Below are 16,220 nucleotides of genomic sequence, written 5' to 3'. Positions count from 1 at the left end.
CTGAGTAGCAGTTGCCAGCACAGCATAACAGTGGCCTAGATAAAAGCTTCCCATCTCATTACATGGGTGACCCACATCATTCCATAATGAAACTCCACTGGGAAAGGGGAACACACTTGCATACCACCCCACCAGATGCAGCCTGCTCAGAGCTTTCCTAGTTTCCAAATTAGAAACTCAGATCTTGCCCTGCAAGACACTTGGACCAAAGCCTTCACAAGTACAGGAAGAAAGCAGTACTTTACTGGGTGCCTTGCCGATTTCCAAAGACTGTGCTTTTCTTGGTTTTGCATAAGGACATCATTGACCTCTTTGAGGAAAGAGCTGGGTTTTGACTATTTTCAGTGGGTGGATAGCACAGCTTCCCAAAGCTGGCCATGGAAAGAACACCTCATTTCCAGACAGAGGCACTGCAGTCCTCCACACTGTCTGGAACAAGGGAGGAGACACAGTCACAGAGCATGTGCCACAGAGGAAGAAGTTCGGATGCTCCTGACTGACATTTTCCAGGAATAAGATTTTGGTGGTTTATAAAATATTATTCCTTCAAGGTAGGGCCTGAGGGTAAAAGGGGAAAAGTACTTAAACTACTGGGCATGTGGTCATTCAACACTTGGCATTGGAATTAATGAATAAATACACAGTAAAGAGATCACAGACAACATTTTATATTTCTCAAACAATTAATAAGGGAAACTCTGCCATTCTTTTCCATGTGACATCTATTAGTTTTCAAGAAATTTTGTTATTTCCTCTTGCATTTTTTTAATTGAGGTGAAATTTATGTTACATAAAATTAACCATTTTAAAGTGAATAGCTTAGTGGCATTTAGTACATTCAGAATATTGTGCAATCACCCCTCCATCTAGTTTCAAAACATTTTCATCACCCCAAAATAAAAACCCATAACCATTAAGCAATTTCTTCTTCTTGTTCCCTCTTCCCGGTCCCCAGCAACCACCAATCTGCATCCTACCTCTATGGAGTTGCTTATTCTAGATATTTCATATTAATGGAATTATACAATATGTGACCTTTTGCTACTGGCCTTTTCCACTTAATGTGTTTTCAGGGTTGATGTATGTTGTAGCATGTATTGGTACTTCATTCCTTTTTATGGCTGAATCATATTCCATTGTGTGCATATACCATAAGAGTTTATCTGTTTATTCGTTGACCGACATCTGTGTTGTTTCCACCTTGTGGCTATTGTGAATAGTGTGCTGTGAACAAGGATTTGTTTGAATACCTGTTTTCAGTTCTTTTGGGCATAAACCTAGGAATGGAATTGCTGGATCATATGGTAATTCTACCTTTACCTTTTTTGAGGAGTTGCCAAACTGCTTTCCTTTCCCCTCATTTTTATCAACATACTTATAAAGTCATTTTCCTTTCTTGAAGATAATACACATATTAAGTGGCATACCTTTTCCTGTCTGGTCTCTTATTTGATGCATTTGATCTTATGCTTTTATAAAAGATATTAAATACTACCTCTCGTTGCCCTAGAGATTCGGGATTATTTGGATGCTTGAGATAGAAAATATTTGGGGGTAAACTAAAGCCCCTTCTTGGTATAACTGAGTAGGAAGCAACAGCTAACAACAGCAACATTTATGGTGCTCTATCTGTGCTGGGGATAACATTAAGCACTTTACCTATTTTCCCTTACCTAACCCTCATGTCAACTGAACAAAATAGGTACTACTACAGGTTGAGTATTTCTTATCCAAAATACTTGGGATTAGACATGTTTTGGATTTCAGATTTTTTTTTTCAGATTTTAGAATATTTTTATTATACTGGAATTACCAGTTCAGCATCCCTAATTTAAAATCCAATGTGCATTTCAGTGTCCTATCAGCACTCAAAAACTTTTAGATTTTGGAGCATTTGGGTTTTGGATTTTCAGATTAGGGATATTCAACCTGTAACATCCCTATTTTATAGAAGAAGAAATTGAGGTCTCCACGAAGAGCTAAGTGCTCTTCACCAGCTCCTGCAAAGGAAATCTGCAGCTGCCACCACTGATGAATAAGAAGCCATTCTGTTTCTCAGGGGATTGCAGTCATTTTGGCAGACAGATAGGTCAAGAGGCAGTTATAACACAGTGTTATAAAAGCTATGATAGGTGTCATGACAGGGACACAGAGATAGAGCACTTATCCTGGCCCTAGGCTGTAGACTTTTCAAAGGAGATGAAATCTAAGTCTCTTATTTTCTTGATAACCCTGTGGGGCCCTTGGTAATGTTTGACCCTCCCCAGGCACTCTTTGACTTCACTATTCCATCATTGCATTTCCAGTGCACAGTGTCTGGCACACAGTTGCCACTTATTAAACATAGGTTCATAAACATGTGTGCTTCTGTAGAAGGAATGCCCAGCCCTGTCACACTGACATGGAACTCCTATGCCTGGGTCCTATGTTTCAACTCATAGACTTTCTCAAAACAGTTGTGCCCTGGGATGGGGAAAGGAGATGAGAAAAGGCCTCCAATGGCTTTGGCTGTCCTCTGTCTCTGAACAGACACTGTGTATGTGAGAAGAAGACAAGGGAAGAGGGAGAAGAAGGGTAGGGAGTGGGGCAGGAGGCCTTCCAGTGGCACCGTGTGAGGTCGGCCAATGCCCAGGGAGGAGACCCTGTAATGTGACGTGAGACCCCAGAGAAGAAATGAACTGGGAAATCTCTTTCCTAAACTCTGATTTCTCATTTCAGTTAAGGTTTGTTATTGCTTCAAAGACTCCTAGCGTATGGCTATACAGTATCTTTGCCAATTCATCTCAGTTGGCAGGTACAAGAAGCAGTAGCTTCATGGAAGGTCTAGACTCTCTCCAGTTGGTAATTCTCACTCCTGTCTCCCAGGCACTGTCAGGGTGTATCACTTACTTTCGGTCAGTCATCTGCAACTCCTCTTTGCATAAAGAGAATTTTGAGGACTCCTAGGAGGCCTGGCGGCTTTGCTTTACATGGCAGAAGCTGCCCGGACATGACTCTGGCTGCTTCCATTTTTTTCCATACACAGTTCTCAAGCTCTTCTATGTGTACCTGACACTACACTAGAGGCTTTGGGGAATTTTCCAAAAACAAAACAATATGCAGGCACAGATTCCACCCTCAAGGACCTACCACCTACCACCCAGGAGCCTGCAAGCACCTAGCTGCAAGCCCCGCCCCTCTCATTGAGAGCTGTGAGAAAAGCCCATTCCTGGGATTAGTCTGTGCTGGGATCTCTGCTCGCTAGTGCGGCCATCTCTTCACCCACTGCTCAGGCTGTGGCTGTGCCATTCTGGAATCCCTGAGTCCTGCTTCACCCTTGTTCGGCTGGCTCCCCAGATGTCCGACCAACTTACCTGAGCCATAAGCTGCTGCTTTGAGCTGCAACCCCAATTGTGAAAGCTCAGCCCATTGCAAGGCCTTCCTGCTCTGCCCAGGCCCGGGTCCTGGTCCCCTCACCCTGCTGGAGACCTACCCTGCTATCCCAACCCATCACCTGGCTCTGCAGGGGCCTACAAGAAGCTTGCATAAGTATGAGAGCTTGGGGTGCCAGAAGTGAATGTGGGCTTCCTGGCCCATGGACATAGCATAGCCCTCACAGAGATACTCTTCACTCTGGTTCTTTCTCATCTCCCCAGATCATAACCAGTCAATTACTTAATCAAAAAGCATTTATTGTACATCTAATATGTGCCAGCACTGAACCAGACCCTGGGGATACCCAGAGGAGAAAGCTCTGTAATAGCTTAATGTCAAGTGGGAAAGCAGACAGGAGCAGCCTCTGTACTATCAGTGAGCAAGCATTGTCAGGGAGGTGAGGTGGTAGAGAAGGAAAGAAATTTTCAACTATGATATCTCCGCGCTACAGATGATTCCAGAAAATGGCCCCTGGGCTAACAAATCCTCCTTTTCCCACCTATTTAGAGGGCGCTTTGCGTCAGTTTTACAGGCCTGAGCATTCCTCACTTGCTCTGAAATAATGGAACAGTGGCGTCTTTCCATCATGCACACAGGATTCATCACTGTCTTCCCTTTTGCATACTCGAGCTCCTCAGCATTGGGCCCCAGCAGAGGTCACAAGCTCAGATGCCTACAGGGTGCCTGACAGGTGAAGCCAACATGCACTGAAGATGTGCTCTGTGCCAGGCACTGTTTCACCCACATCACACAGAGTATTTAACTCATCTGGTTCCCACAATAATCCTACGACAGAGGTTCTATTCTTATCCCCCTTTTATAGTTGAGGAAACTAAGGCACAGAGAGGGAAGGGGACTTTCCATATTCAGAAGCCAGTGTGTGGTGGGACCAGGCTTTGACCCAGGCTGGTCCATCTGAGAGGGTCACACAAGCTGGGTGAGAGCGTAGACTGAAAGCTGCAGATCAAACACAATCCACTCTCTGGTGGCAGCTGCCTCCTGGGCTTCCACTGTGCAGCCTCTGACCACGGACCGATCTAGGCTTGACTCTTAGGATAGAATGTCATTTGGTTTCCACAAACTTTGTGCTAAATGTTGGCAGGCTGATTGTGGGTGAGGGGGCAGGGAAAGAGGGATCCCTTTGAACGTGAGCCAGGTGGAACTGGCTTTGGTTACCCAGGGCCTTGTGACACCCAGTTTGAAGTCAGAATTATCATCAAATGTAAGGATATGCTGCACAAAGAGATAAAATGTAGTTGGGGTGAGGGTGAGGGACAGGGAGGAGGCAGAAAATTCACTATACACTCAAGTTCCCTTAACACAGTAATCTGCCTTCATAGTCAAATGTGAAAACAATTTGAAATTGTAGCCCCCAATGTCCTTAAGCCCAATATGTCATCAGTCACTCCTGCCTATGGCCCTATCCCCGGACACTCAAGTCATAACATGTTATGATGTATGGAGGGAGAGAACATCAGGAGCAGCCTCCTCCTACGGCCAGAACCTTGAAAAATCCCCATCAGGGGCTGGAGTGGTCCCTGGAATGCCATGGCAATTAAAGCAGTGGCTGCAAGAAGGCCCTGGGAGAGGGGGTCGGGTGGAGCAAGCTGTTTTAGTGTTGAAGCCTTAACATCGGGAGGTTGGAGGCCTCTAGAGCTGAGTTGGAGCACGGGCCACTTTGACTGGATTCTTTCTCTGAGCCAGCTGGGTTTCTTGAGCAGCCTGGAATCACCTTTCTTTCCCGTCCCTGCTGCCTTTAAACATTCTATGCACCTTGCAGGTGCCAACTCAAATCACACCCTCATCGAAGTCTGCCCTGGATTCCTCACTGGAATTAACGTCTCCCTCCTTGCTACTTCCATAAGCATTTGTTTGAATTTCCCTTGGGACACTGAACTAATCATGCCTTATGGTACTTCGCCTGTGCTTGTCCAGTTCCCCAACAACAAAAAAGTAAATTCCTTGACTTTATTCCTAAAGTGTCTATCAAAAGAAGAAAAGTTCAATTTTGATTTCCTTACCCAGATAGCTGGCAAGTTTTCTACTTCTCACTAGGCAGCATTATCTGGGAAAGCGTTAGAAGAGAGAGAAGTTCTTCATGCACATAGTAGGTACTCAACAAATGTGAGTTGAATTGAATAATTTGCTGCTGTACAGCAGAGAATGGAAATGGAAGTTCCTGGCTTCCTTGGCCACAATGGTGTCAACAACCCAGAATCAGTGAAGGAAGAAAAAGCCAGCAAAGGAAGTTCCTCCCTCCAGAAAAAAGCAGGGAGGTCTTTTTACAGTAATAGCAGTGAGGTAGTGAGCCAGCCCCCCGCCCCCCACAAATACACACATACTCTACTCAGTTGACTTTGCAGGCAGAAGTTACCAAATAAAATCATATCAATTGAAGAGCACAAAGAGGCCAAGCACAGTGTCTCATGCCTGTACTCTCAGCACTTTGGGAAGCTGAGGCAGGAGGATAACTTCAGGCCAGGAGTTCAAGACCAGCCTGGGCAACATAGGAAGACCCTGTCTCTACTAAAGTAATAATAATAATAAATTAGGCAGATGTGGTGGTGCATGCCTGTAGTCCCAGCTATTTGGGAAGCTGAGGCAGGAGGATTGCCTGCGCCCAAGAAATCAAGGTTACAGTGATTGTGCCACTGCACACTAGCCTGGGTGACAGAGTGAGACCCTGTATATTTTTTAAAAATTAAAAATCAAGAACACCAAGAAGTCAGAAACACAGCCAATCAGGGCTTTCCAACAAGGGTAGTCTCACTTCCAAGTGATGTAATCTTGATATTCAACATGGCACCCCATGAAAACAAAGCTTGATGTCCATTTGAGACTGGTGTTCCTTGGAAGTCGAGCCTCAGCTGCTCTCATCTCTGTTTCTTAGTCCTGACAGCCTCACTGGAGATTAAAAAGTAGCCAGTCTCCAAAAGAGATCTACTCAGGAGCACCCAAGAATACCTGGTATTTGAGCATACTGCCCAAGCTGAAAGAGCTCTCCAAACCCAAAATATTGACATTTCAACTGGCAGACTTTATTTTCCTGGATATCTCTTTCCAGCTGACCAACATGATCTGTGTGAACCTAAAGTAGTGTGGCAGAGCAGAAGGAAAACTGGCTATTTAGAGATAGAGGAATTGGCACATGATCTTTTATTAGGTATGAGACCTTAGATGAGTCATTTAATTTCAGTGAGCCTCAGAGCTTCTTCATCTATAAACATGTTCATTTGTTAATTCAGCACATATTTCCCAAGGGCAAAATATGTCCCAGATGCAGAGGATGCCATGATGGGAATAGATTCCATCTAGAAAGGAAGAACAATGATTAAACAATTACCCTACTGCAGATTATGGGTTGTGGTGACAATGTAGGTATGGTGAAGGGCACAGAGCAGGGGCTCTGACCTGTAATGAGGTCAAGGAAGGTTTCCCCAGGGCAACAATGTTGAATAGAGGCCAGGAGATGGGGTAGGGAGCAGTGGATGGGGGTGGGGTGAGAGAGAGCTACAGTTGTATAAGGATCCAAAGCTGGAGGGGAACCCCATACCTCACAGAGTTTGAGAAATGGGAGGCTTTGTAAACTGCGAAGGGGATTGGTTGCCACTGCTTGCTGCCCTCATTGTTGCATTTTAGGAGTAACTTTAGCGCAGAAAGCATCTCACTGGGGAAGTGGAAAACTAGAGCCCTGTGTGCCATTGGCCACTAACCAGCTTTACAATTTTGAACAAATTTGGAACAAACTTTTACTATGAAAAGATTATTCATCTGTGAAATAGGGCAAGAAATCCCTCCCCTCTACAAATTACAGTAGATTGAAGGAAGAAATGTTTTCAGAAGCCTTTAAAAAACTAAACTGAGTTGTAAGTGTAGGATATTCATTGGACTTTCACCAATCATAAATAAACCCAAGCCCATCTGGGTGCCAGTTCGAAGGAGGGAGAACTGATTGCATCCTGTTTTTATCCCTCACCCCCTATTCCCAAGGGATCAAGAGATAAATAGCCATTTCTTTCTGATTGGTTTGGTGATATTTCATTTCAGTTTATAATTAGATTTTTGTCTAAGGGAGAACGGATGCTATTAATAAAAGTTTTTTTAATTGTGGTATCTGTGATTGCTCTGCCTGACCGGTTGGGGCAGATTACCAGTGAGCCCATGGGTGGGAGCTTAATCCTGCGTAATCCCGAGCTCTGGTAGGGTGTACTTTCCATCACAAGCAAGATCAGGTAAAAGAATGTGGCCACTGAAAGAGTGAGGCTGTCAGGTCTCCTCTGCTCACAACTTTCAGGGCCTCCTTGAGGCTGTTACACCAACCCCATGTTAGGCTTTCAAAGCCCCCTGTGATCTCACTAATCTTTCCTGTGCCACCTCAGTTCCCACTCTTCCTTAGAAGCCTTCTTCGCTGCCATACCCATCTCGAACTCTGTACCTGTTGGCCTCTGTACCTCTGCTCTGGCTTTTCCAACCTATGTAGCTCACCCCAACTTGCCCTTTTCCCCACCAGAATGTCCAGCCCTCCATGTAATCACACACAGCCCAGGAGCTGGCACAGCCTCTATCTCCTCCATGATATCCCCCCCCCCGCCCCGTCCCCCACTCTGATAAAACATAACCAGCATTGATCTCTCTCCTTTCTAATAGTACCTGCATTTTGTCACTTTCTGGTTTTCAGTTTAGCATTTAATTACTATTATTTTTGAAAATTCAACTTTGCAGGACATTTTCAGTTTACAAAGAACTCTCATATATATTAGTATTTGACTTTCACAACCACACTGAATGGTGAGGGCAGTTGATGTTATCATCATTGTCTTCCCGTCTTAGAGACCAGGATCCTGAGGCTCATGAAGCTCTGTGACTTGCCCTGCCACTTGGCTAAGCAGAGCAGGACTTCAGTGCTCTAAGGTTCGTGAAGAAACTCTTTTAGGATAAGAACCAGTTGGTACACTTCTTTTTCCCCTCCAGCACTATGTCGGTTACATAGTAAATACTTAACTAATGCTTCTTGACATGAAATCCACATGCAACTACAGGAAAAATCCTTCAAATGGCATATTTTATTGATGCAAACAATTGTTATTAGTGCTATTGGCCTCTTCATGTATAAAGAACAATATGTTTGCAGCATTATTTTTATTATAGGGACTCAGTAAACAACTAAGGGAGACTCACACACATTTTATACAAAGCTCTTCCCAGCCCCAGAGGCCAAGAAAAGGCAGCCACAAATGTAGGTACCATTCCTTCTGCTCACACTGAAGGTGCTGCCCCCCTGCCTCCTGGCAGTGGATGGAATGTGCTTGTCAGAACTTGCTCAGCAGAGTGGACATGGCCCGCTAGCCCTTGGAAACCTGGGGTCATTTGTACACATGGAGGATTCAAGTTACCCAGCAGCAGCCTCAGCTCCACTACACAAGTAGGTGAAGGGGCTGGCCTGGTTGTAGAGGGGATTTAGGAGTGGTCTCCATCCAGCCATTCTGGGTTGGAGGCAGGAAGACCTCCCAACATTGGAGCAAATTTCCCAAGAATTTCAGGCCACTTTGACTACCAGGCAGAATTGAGGAGTGACTTTTGTTTTTTGCCACATCCCTGCAACTGCTGGGAATAATACCAATTATGACTCTAAATATTTGTACAGTTCCTAACAGCCCAGACACACATTACATTCACTATGTGCTTTTACCTAAGGACCCTGTGAGCAGGTACTCACTTCCAGTTGTTGGTTTAATTTAGAAAGTGTATGCATGTGATCAGTCATTCAGAATGGTACCAAAGGAATGAGAGAAAAGCCAGTCTCCCTTCCTGCACTGCCCCCAATTTCCCTCCAAAGGGGCAGTACATGCTATCATTTTCTTGTGTATTCTTCTAGATTGTTCCCCATTTTGGAGATGAAGAAACTGAGACTCAAAGCAGCTGAGTGACCTTCCCAAGGACACACACTGAGTGAGTTGTAACTTCTTCTCATTCCTCAATCTATTAGCTTCCTCTGCACTCAAACTACCCTTTAGCCAAGAATTTGGCTCCTAGGGCAAGTTATGAGAATGTAAATAAGTAAAATCAGGTAAAAGTCAAAGCCAGAACAGGGGGCCTAGGCCCCACAGATTCTTGAGAAGAATCTGCCTACCCCTATTAGGCACTTCAAGGACATCTACTTTCTTCTCTGGCTGCTCTAGGCCAACTGCCATCCCTATGGCATCTTCTGCCTTCTAACTGTCATGGGCAGGGTCTAACATTCAGAATGTCTTGCTCTATCAAAGCATTCCCACCTAATGTGTTATTTCTTCAAGACCCTGATACTTTGAGGGTTGGTCTGATAAAAAATGTATCTGGGCTGCTAATGGGAGATAAAGCCTAAAGTCTGGTGGTCGGCCTGCAGACAGCTCAGCCCTGAGGCCACATCATGGAGAGCCCAGAGACAAGGGCTGAGTTCCCTGGCCTCTCCCACCATCCCCCCTACCTCCCAGTGGCCTTAAGTGCTTTCCAGAGGGTCTCCCACAAAGCCTTGAGGTCTCCAGGCATGGATGGAGCAGAGGTGGTGGATGGGAAAGAATGAGGGGATGAGGCTAAGGGAACCCTGTGTCGAGGGGGGTGAATATGGGATACCCCCCTGCAATCCCCAGCTTAAGCAGTTTCTTCCATACATACTCCCGATTCAGGAATTTGCAATACTTGCCATCTCTTTTGGGAAGGGCATTTCAAGGATGGGGAGGAAAATGTTTGGGCATGCTGAGGGCATCAGGGAAGAGATGACGGCTATTCCTAGGGACAAGAATATCTGCATGGAGGCAACTAAAACTGCACATGATGAGGCTAAGCATATGTCATCTATATCAAAGAAAGAAGGTGCTGAAGCAAAAAAAAAAAAAAAAAAAAAAAAAAAAAAAGCATGCTACTTAACCTGACACTGGATGTGTACTCAATAAGTATTTTAGCTCACTCATATATGTTCTCTGCATTCATCAACCATTATTTATCAAAACCATAAAAAAACACTCCCTGCAACATTAGGAATGCAGATTTAAGCCCATGCAGAAAGGAAGTAAAGGTTTATCCTCAGACATATGAACTCCTCTGCACAGACTGCCCTCTGGGGTGGAAGCTGCCATCCAAAGCCTGGCAAATCTGAAGTCCACCACACTGAACATTCCACAGAGGTGAGTTATTATTGGAATGAGAATATTTATGCTCACTCCCTCTATGATTTGATCTTTGCATTTTAAGACTTAATATTGCAGTAAGGTAGCTTTTGGCTTTTAATTGCCCCGAAATTTTGTTAACATTAAATGAAAGGACAAAATGGAAAGGAAAATAGAACCATATCTGTATCACTTTTGAGTTGCATAATTTACATTTTTGCCACTTCATTAGTTTTCAGCTATTCCAGCCTGTAAATGTCTCCCCCACCACCACTAACAAAAAGAAATATGTCAGTCATTCTGTTATTGCCCCAAAGTTTGCAGAACTCTTAAGTTCCTGTCTCTAGTATTAAAGAGAATTATGCAAGTTTTATTTTTTTATTTTTATTTTTTATTATACTTTAAGTTCTAGGGTACATGTGCACAACGTGCAGGTTTGTTACATATGTATACATGTGCCATGTTGATGTGCTGCACCCATTAACTCGTCATTACATTAAGTATATCTCCTAATGCTATCCCTTCCCCCTCCCCTGACCCCACGATGGGCCCCAGTGTGTGATGTTCCCCTTCCTGTGTCCAAGTGTTCTCATTGTTCAATTCCCACCTATGAGTGAGAACATGAGGTGTTTGGTTTTTTGTCCTTGCAATAGTCTGCTGAGAATGATGGTTTCCAGCTTCATCCATGTCCCTGTAAAGGACATGAACTCATCCTTTTTTATGGCTGCATAGTATTCCATGGTATATATGTGCCACATTTTCTTAATCTAGTCTATCATTGATGGACATTTGGGTTAGTTCCAAGTCTTTGCTATTGTGAATAGTGCCACAATGAACATACATGTGCATGTGTCTTTATAGCAGCATGATTTATAATCCTTTCGGTATATACCCAGTAATGGGATGGCTGGGTCAAATGGTATTTCTAGTTCTAGATCCCTGAGGAATCGCCACACTGACTTCCACAATGGTTGAACTAGTTTACAGTCCCACCAACAGTGTAAAAGTGTTCCTATTTCTCCACATCCTCTCCAGCACCTGTTGTTTCCTGACTTTTTAATGATTGCCATTCTAACTGGTGTGAGATGGTATCTCATTGTGGTTTTGATTTGCATTTCTCTGATGGCCAGTGATGATGAGCATTTTTTCATGTGTCTGTTGGCTGCATAGAATTATGCAACTTTTAATTACTACCTGTGTGGGAGACCCTGAATGACACAAGTGTTTGGTCGTTCTCATGCTTTTTCAAAAAACATTTTTTCCCTCCAAGAGGATATGACATTTGAACACTTAAGCATCAGTTATTGGAGTCGGCCAGAAGCAGAGGTTTCCCTTTATTTGTGGAACAGAAAAGGCAACGCCCCACTCAACCGCTCCTAACTCACAGATGACCTCAGAGCCTCGGCTTCTGGCTCTCCAAAAACAAAACTTCACCTAAACACTTTACCACACCCACAAACATTGGCTCCAAAATCCTTTACCAAACTATTTTGAAAAGTGAAAATGAGAACTATATAACCAAGATAGTTCACTGTAACCATGGCTACAGGTTTTATTAGCACTAATACCAGGATGTGGTCAGATCATGTATGTATGTGTATATATATATATATATGTATATACAGATGACGAATAGAAGTGTAAGTGGTATTAGAGTTCCCCTATGAATTCTCCACTTTGGAAATGTAGCTCCTAATAACCACAGACTAGGGGAAAGGCGGGGGATAGGAGGGTGGAGGACTGCATCAGTAAGAGAAGCTCAGTGTTCTACTTTGAGCTTTAATTCAGCCTTTTAATATAATCCCCTAAAATACCACTACTTTGCATTGAGATTGCAATTTTCCCTGCTCAGTGTTCTTCCACATGTCTTGTCTGTTCTTCACAGTAATCTTGAGAGATATCCAGGATGAGTAATAACCTCATTTCTCAGATGAGGAAAGGGCTCAGAAAGCTTAACTGATTTTGCCCAAGGTCAAAGGCCTGGAGGACAACTGAACTGGGACTAGGAGAGGGTCCTCTGACTCCTTGCTTAATTGCACCCTTGGGCCAGCTGTTTGTATTGTGCCCAGGGGCATTTTGATATGCATTAATTCCTCTTGCAAACATCCCTCATCCTTATCATTTGTCTGATTAACCACAGATCAGGATCAGTCCATCAAACTGGAGGTTAAAGCTGCTATGTGAGGCTTGCCTTTTGTCCTCATTTATATTTTTTAAGCCCCCTGCATGGCTCTTCTCTACATAGATGACAGCACAGAGAACATGTACCATAGTTCCTACTCCTGAGTGAGTTTATAATCCAGGGGAGGTGAGCTTAAAATGCTTCCAGGGACCAGGTGGGTGAACAGGACTGGGTGAAGCAGGCAGGATGGGGACTGGGGTGTGGGGTCGGGGAATGGGGAGAACACAGGCCCTTTTAAAGCTCCAGCAGATTGTGGCCATGTGGGAGGTTAGTGTGGCCAAATCTTAGGACTAGCTGAAGATTGAGAATTTGATACGAAACCAAAGGAAGCAGAAAAATAATACAAAGTAAAAGTGCCTGTGGGTTGGACATAGCTCCCAGACTGCCAGTGAGTTTCATGCCTTGGGGCCCCAGCATATATGGAGTTATACATGTTATCAGTGATGCTGTATTGCACTTCTCTTCAACGTGTTTGGTCCTATTAAAACATGAGCTCCTTGAGGTCACAGAAGGCATCGTAATCAAGAGTGCACCCACAGGGTGTGACGCACGTGGCAGGCTTTTACATGTTGATAGATGAATAGTTGGATGAACACCCCATCATCTTAGAAGATCCAGAAATTAAAGTCCTCAGCATTCTGAGAATGGTGGTTACAGTAGGATCTCTGGACTCAGAGAGGACTAGAGTCAAACGTCTTTCTGCGCTTGAGTAGCTCCATGTCTTTGGGCGAATCACTTAAATCTCTCATAGCCTCAGTTTCCTCATCTGTAGGATGGGCATAGAAAAAAAGCCTATCTCTTGAGTTGTTGAATGAGACCATGTCTGTAAACCCTTGATTCCACACACAGAGTTGCACACTTAGTAAGAACTCAGCAAATGATGGCTTTTTGATTCAACAGATCATTCCTTGTTCCTGTGAAAGGTGATAAGACTTTTGCCAACCCTCTGTTTTGAGATTTTGGCCTCCTGAAGTATCTAAATCAAAAGAGGACTGTCAAAAGAAAACAAATGAGCATTCTAGCTGAAGTGAAGAGGAGAAAATTGATAGTGATGGACAACACAAGGCTCCCCTAAGAAATGCGATCCTGGAGGTCAGGAGGGCCGAGAGAGGGAGAAGCACCTGGGAGTGAATGGAAATAAAGTTAGCAGGAAGGCAGGGGAGAGGCTAAGGTGGCTGCCCTGATTCACTAGGGGCTGGTTAACTCACTTTCTACACCAATTCAGTGAAAAGCTGATCAAACTCTAATTAGAGCAAAATAATTATTTCACAAATGGATGTTTTCACCTTTCACACAATGTGAATAGTATAATAATAAATATAGTGCTTTACAGTTGGCAAGGCAATTTTAAGGCACCCACTGTGTGAAATATACTTACACAACATGCTTCACACACATTATCTCATTTACTCTGCCCAGCGATGCATTAATTCATTCATCCATTCAGCAAGTACTTACTGCCAGTCCACTTTCTACCAGGCCCTGTGCCAGATACTGAGAGTAAAATGATGTAACGCAGTGAATAAAACACCTAGCCCTCTGAGAAAGATGGCAATATCTTTGTTTACAGAAGAATAAATGGAAAAAGCACTTAAGTGAATGTTCCCCAAACCCCACACCATGTTAGTGGTGGAGACAGGTTTTTTTGTTTGTTTTTTATTTTAGAGACAAAGTCTCACCCTGTCACCTGGACTGGAGTGCAGTGGTGCAGTCACTGTAACCTCAAACTCCCGGGCTCAAGCAATCCTCCTGCCTCAGCCTCCTGAGTAGCTGGAACTACAGGCATGTGCTACCACACTTGGCTAATTTTTTTAATTTTTATTTTTGTAGAGATAGGATCTTGCTATGTTGCCCAGGCTGGCAAAATTCTTGGCTACAAGTTTTCTGGCATATAAGAAGAAAAATTAGGAAATTTCCTTGACCTTGAGGAGGTAAATATGAGGAAGTTGACTTGCTAACAGACTGGAGAAATTGTATTCACTCACATTTAGTACAGCTGGAATTTTCAGGGAATCAGACATAATTTCTCATGATTAATCCTGAGGGTAACATGAGGAGAACTAACTATTCTTAGAGTGTATAGTCTGGACCCTCTGGAGAAAAGATAATTAGGGATGAAAAGAGAGAAAAGGAAGGAAAGAAGAAAGGGAAAAGAGTAAAGAAGAATAAAGGAACTGGAGATTCCAGACCTTCCATAATAGAAAATCAAAGAAAGTCCACATGAAGGCTTTTTAAAATTCTTTTCATTGTTCTTAAATCATTCTCTAATTATTTCCCTGGTATCATCCTTGAGACAAGAGAGGATGTCTTTTACCTCCCCCATATTTCCTAGCACGTCTTAATTAATACTTGATTGACTGAAAGATTGACTCATTTGAACCCACAGTGAAATGGAGCTTTTTAATTTTCTTTTCTGCTGAACCTGAAATAGAGCATATAGTAATTAGGAAAGAATCCCTTGTTATCAGAAAGTCCCAGCTACAATGGGCTCTTTGTAACTGAGCAAAAGGAAGGTAGGTGATTATTTAGGAGCTGATAAAACACTCACCCCTGCCCCCACTTTCTATTGCTCTCAGTGATAGGCGGTTTTCTTGATCATTATTTCTCCCTCCAGTGAGTTTTCGTGGCTGGAAGATCTGGCTGGAGAGTGCAGTCTGCGGGTGGATAATTATCATTAAAGTCCAGCCACAGTGTGACTGATGGTCACTTTTCTATGCCCTTTGGTTCTTCTACTCTTTCTCCCCAGTGACCTGGTTTGCCTGACAGATGATTATTCAAGATCTCATTTTTTTAGAACCCTTGAATTAACTTCACTCATTCATTCATTCATTCAGCTACATGCCAGACTCTGGGCATCCAAACAGAATAGGACAGGCAGGGCCCTGCTCTCATGGAGCTTATGTTCTAATGGAGGAAGACAGGCAGTAAAGGTGGAAACCAGCGTGACAGCAGCATTGTAAGTGACTGAGAAATTTCAAAGTGAGGAGTATCACCAAGCCAGTAGGGCAGGATGGTGAGATAGGGGTTGGCTGGGGGTTGGGCGACATTAGATAACCATACTCCATTAGAAAAAGGCCTCCTGATAAGGTAACACGGGAGGAAATTTGTATGAAAATGTATTTGAGCTGACGCAAATGTTGTGAAGCAATCACGCCAAGATCTGAGGAAAACCATACCAGGCAAAGGGACAAATAGGGTCCTGAGCGAGTGGACGGTCCAGTAGTAGGCGCGGCTAGGCCACAGTGAATGGGAGAGAAGAGAGTACCAGACAAGGTCCAGAAGGAGGCAGGGGCCAGACGATGGCAGGGCCTGGGGATGTAAGAAAGAGTTTAGATGTCATACTTCTAGTTTAGATGTCATACTTCTAGTGACGGGAAGCCATGAGGCGTGAGCAGGGCCTGGGGGTGATATGATCTGGCTCTGGTGGGGAGAACAGGCCGGAGGGAGGGAGGAGCAGAACCAGAGAGATTGGTTAGGAAGCT

At 43.9% G+C, this 16,220-nt stretch overlaps 1 protein-coding gene across 9 annotated transcripts in view; it reads left to right on the top strand.

The window, feature by feature from the left end:
• Nucleotides 1-16,220, top strand: part of KIAA0040 — a 36,002-nt gene that overhangs the window by 6,014 nt on the left and 13,768 nt on the right. For 5 of the 9 annotated variants that reach the window (NM_001162894.2, XM_047435111.1, NM_001162893.2 and 2 more), the window contains one exon: nt 9,290-9,363. The exons of 3 other annotated variants lie outside the window; for them this stretch is intronic. The gene's annotated coding sequence lies outside the window, so the exon portion shown is untranslated. Of the gene's footprint in view, nt 1-9,289; nt 9,364-10,499; nt 10,575-16,220 lie in introns of all 9 variants that reach the window. One more of the 9 variants, NM_001319231.2, reaches the window with a different exon arrangement.

This window comes from Homo sapiens, chromosome 1 (genome assembly GCF_000001405.40).
Source record: "Homo sapiens chromosome 1, GRCh38.p14 Primary Assembly".
In the NCBI taxonomy this organism is placed as follows: Eukaryota; Metazoa; Chordata; class Mammalia; order Primates; family Hominidae; genus Homo; species Homo sapiens.
Note: the sequence above shows the minus strand (reverse complement) of the source record. Positions and strands in the feature narration are given on the sequence as shown.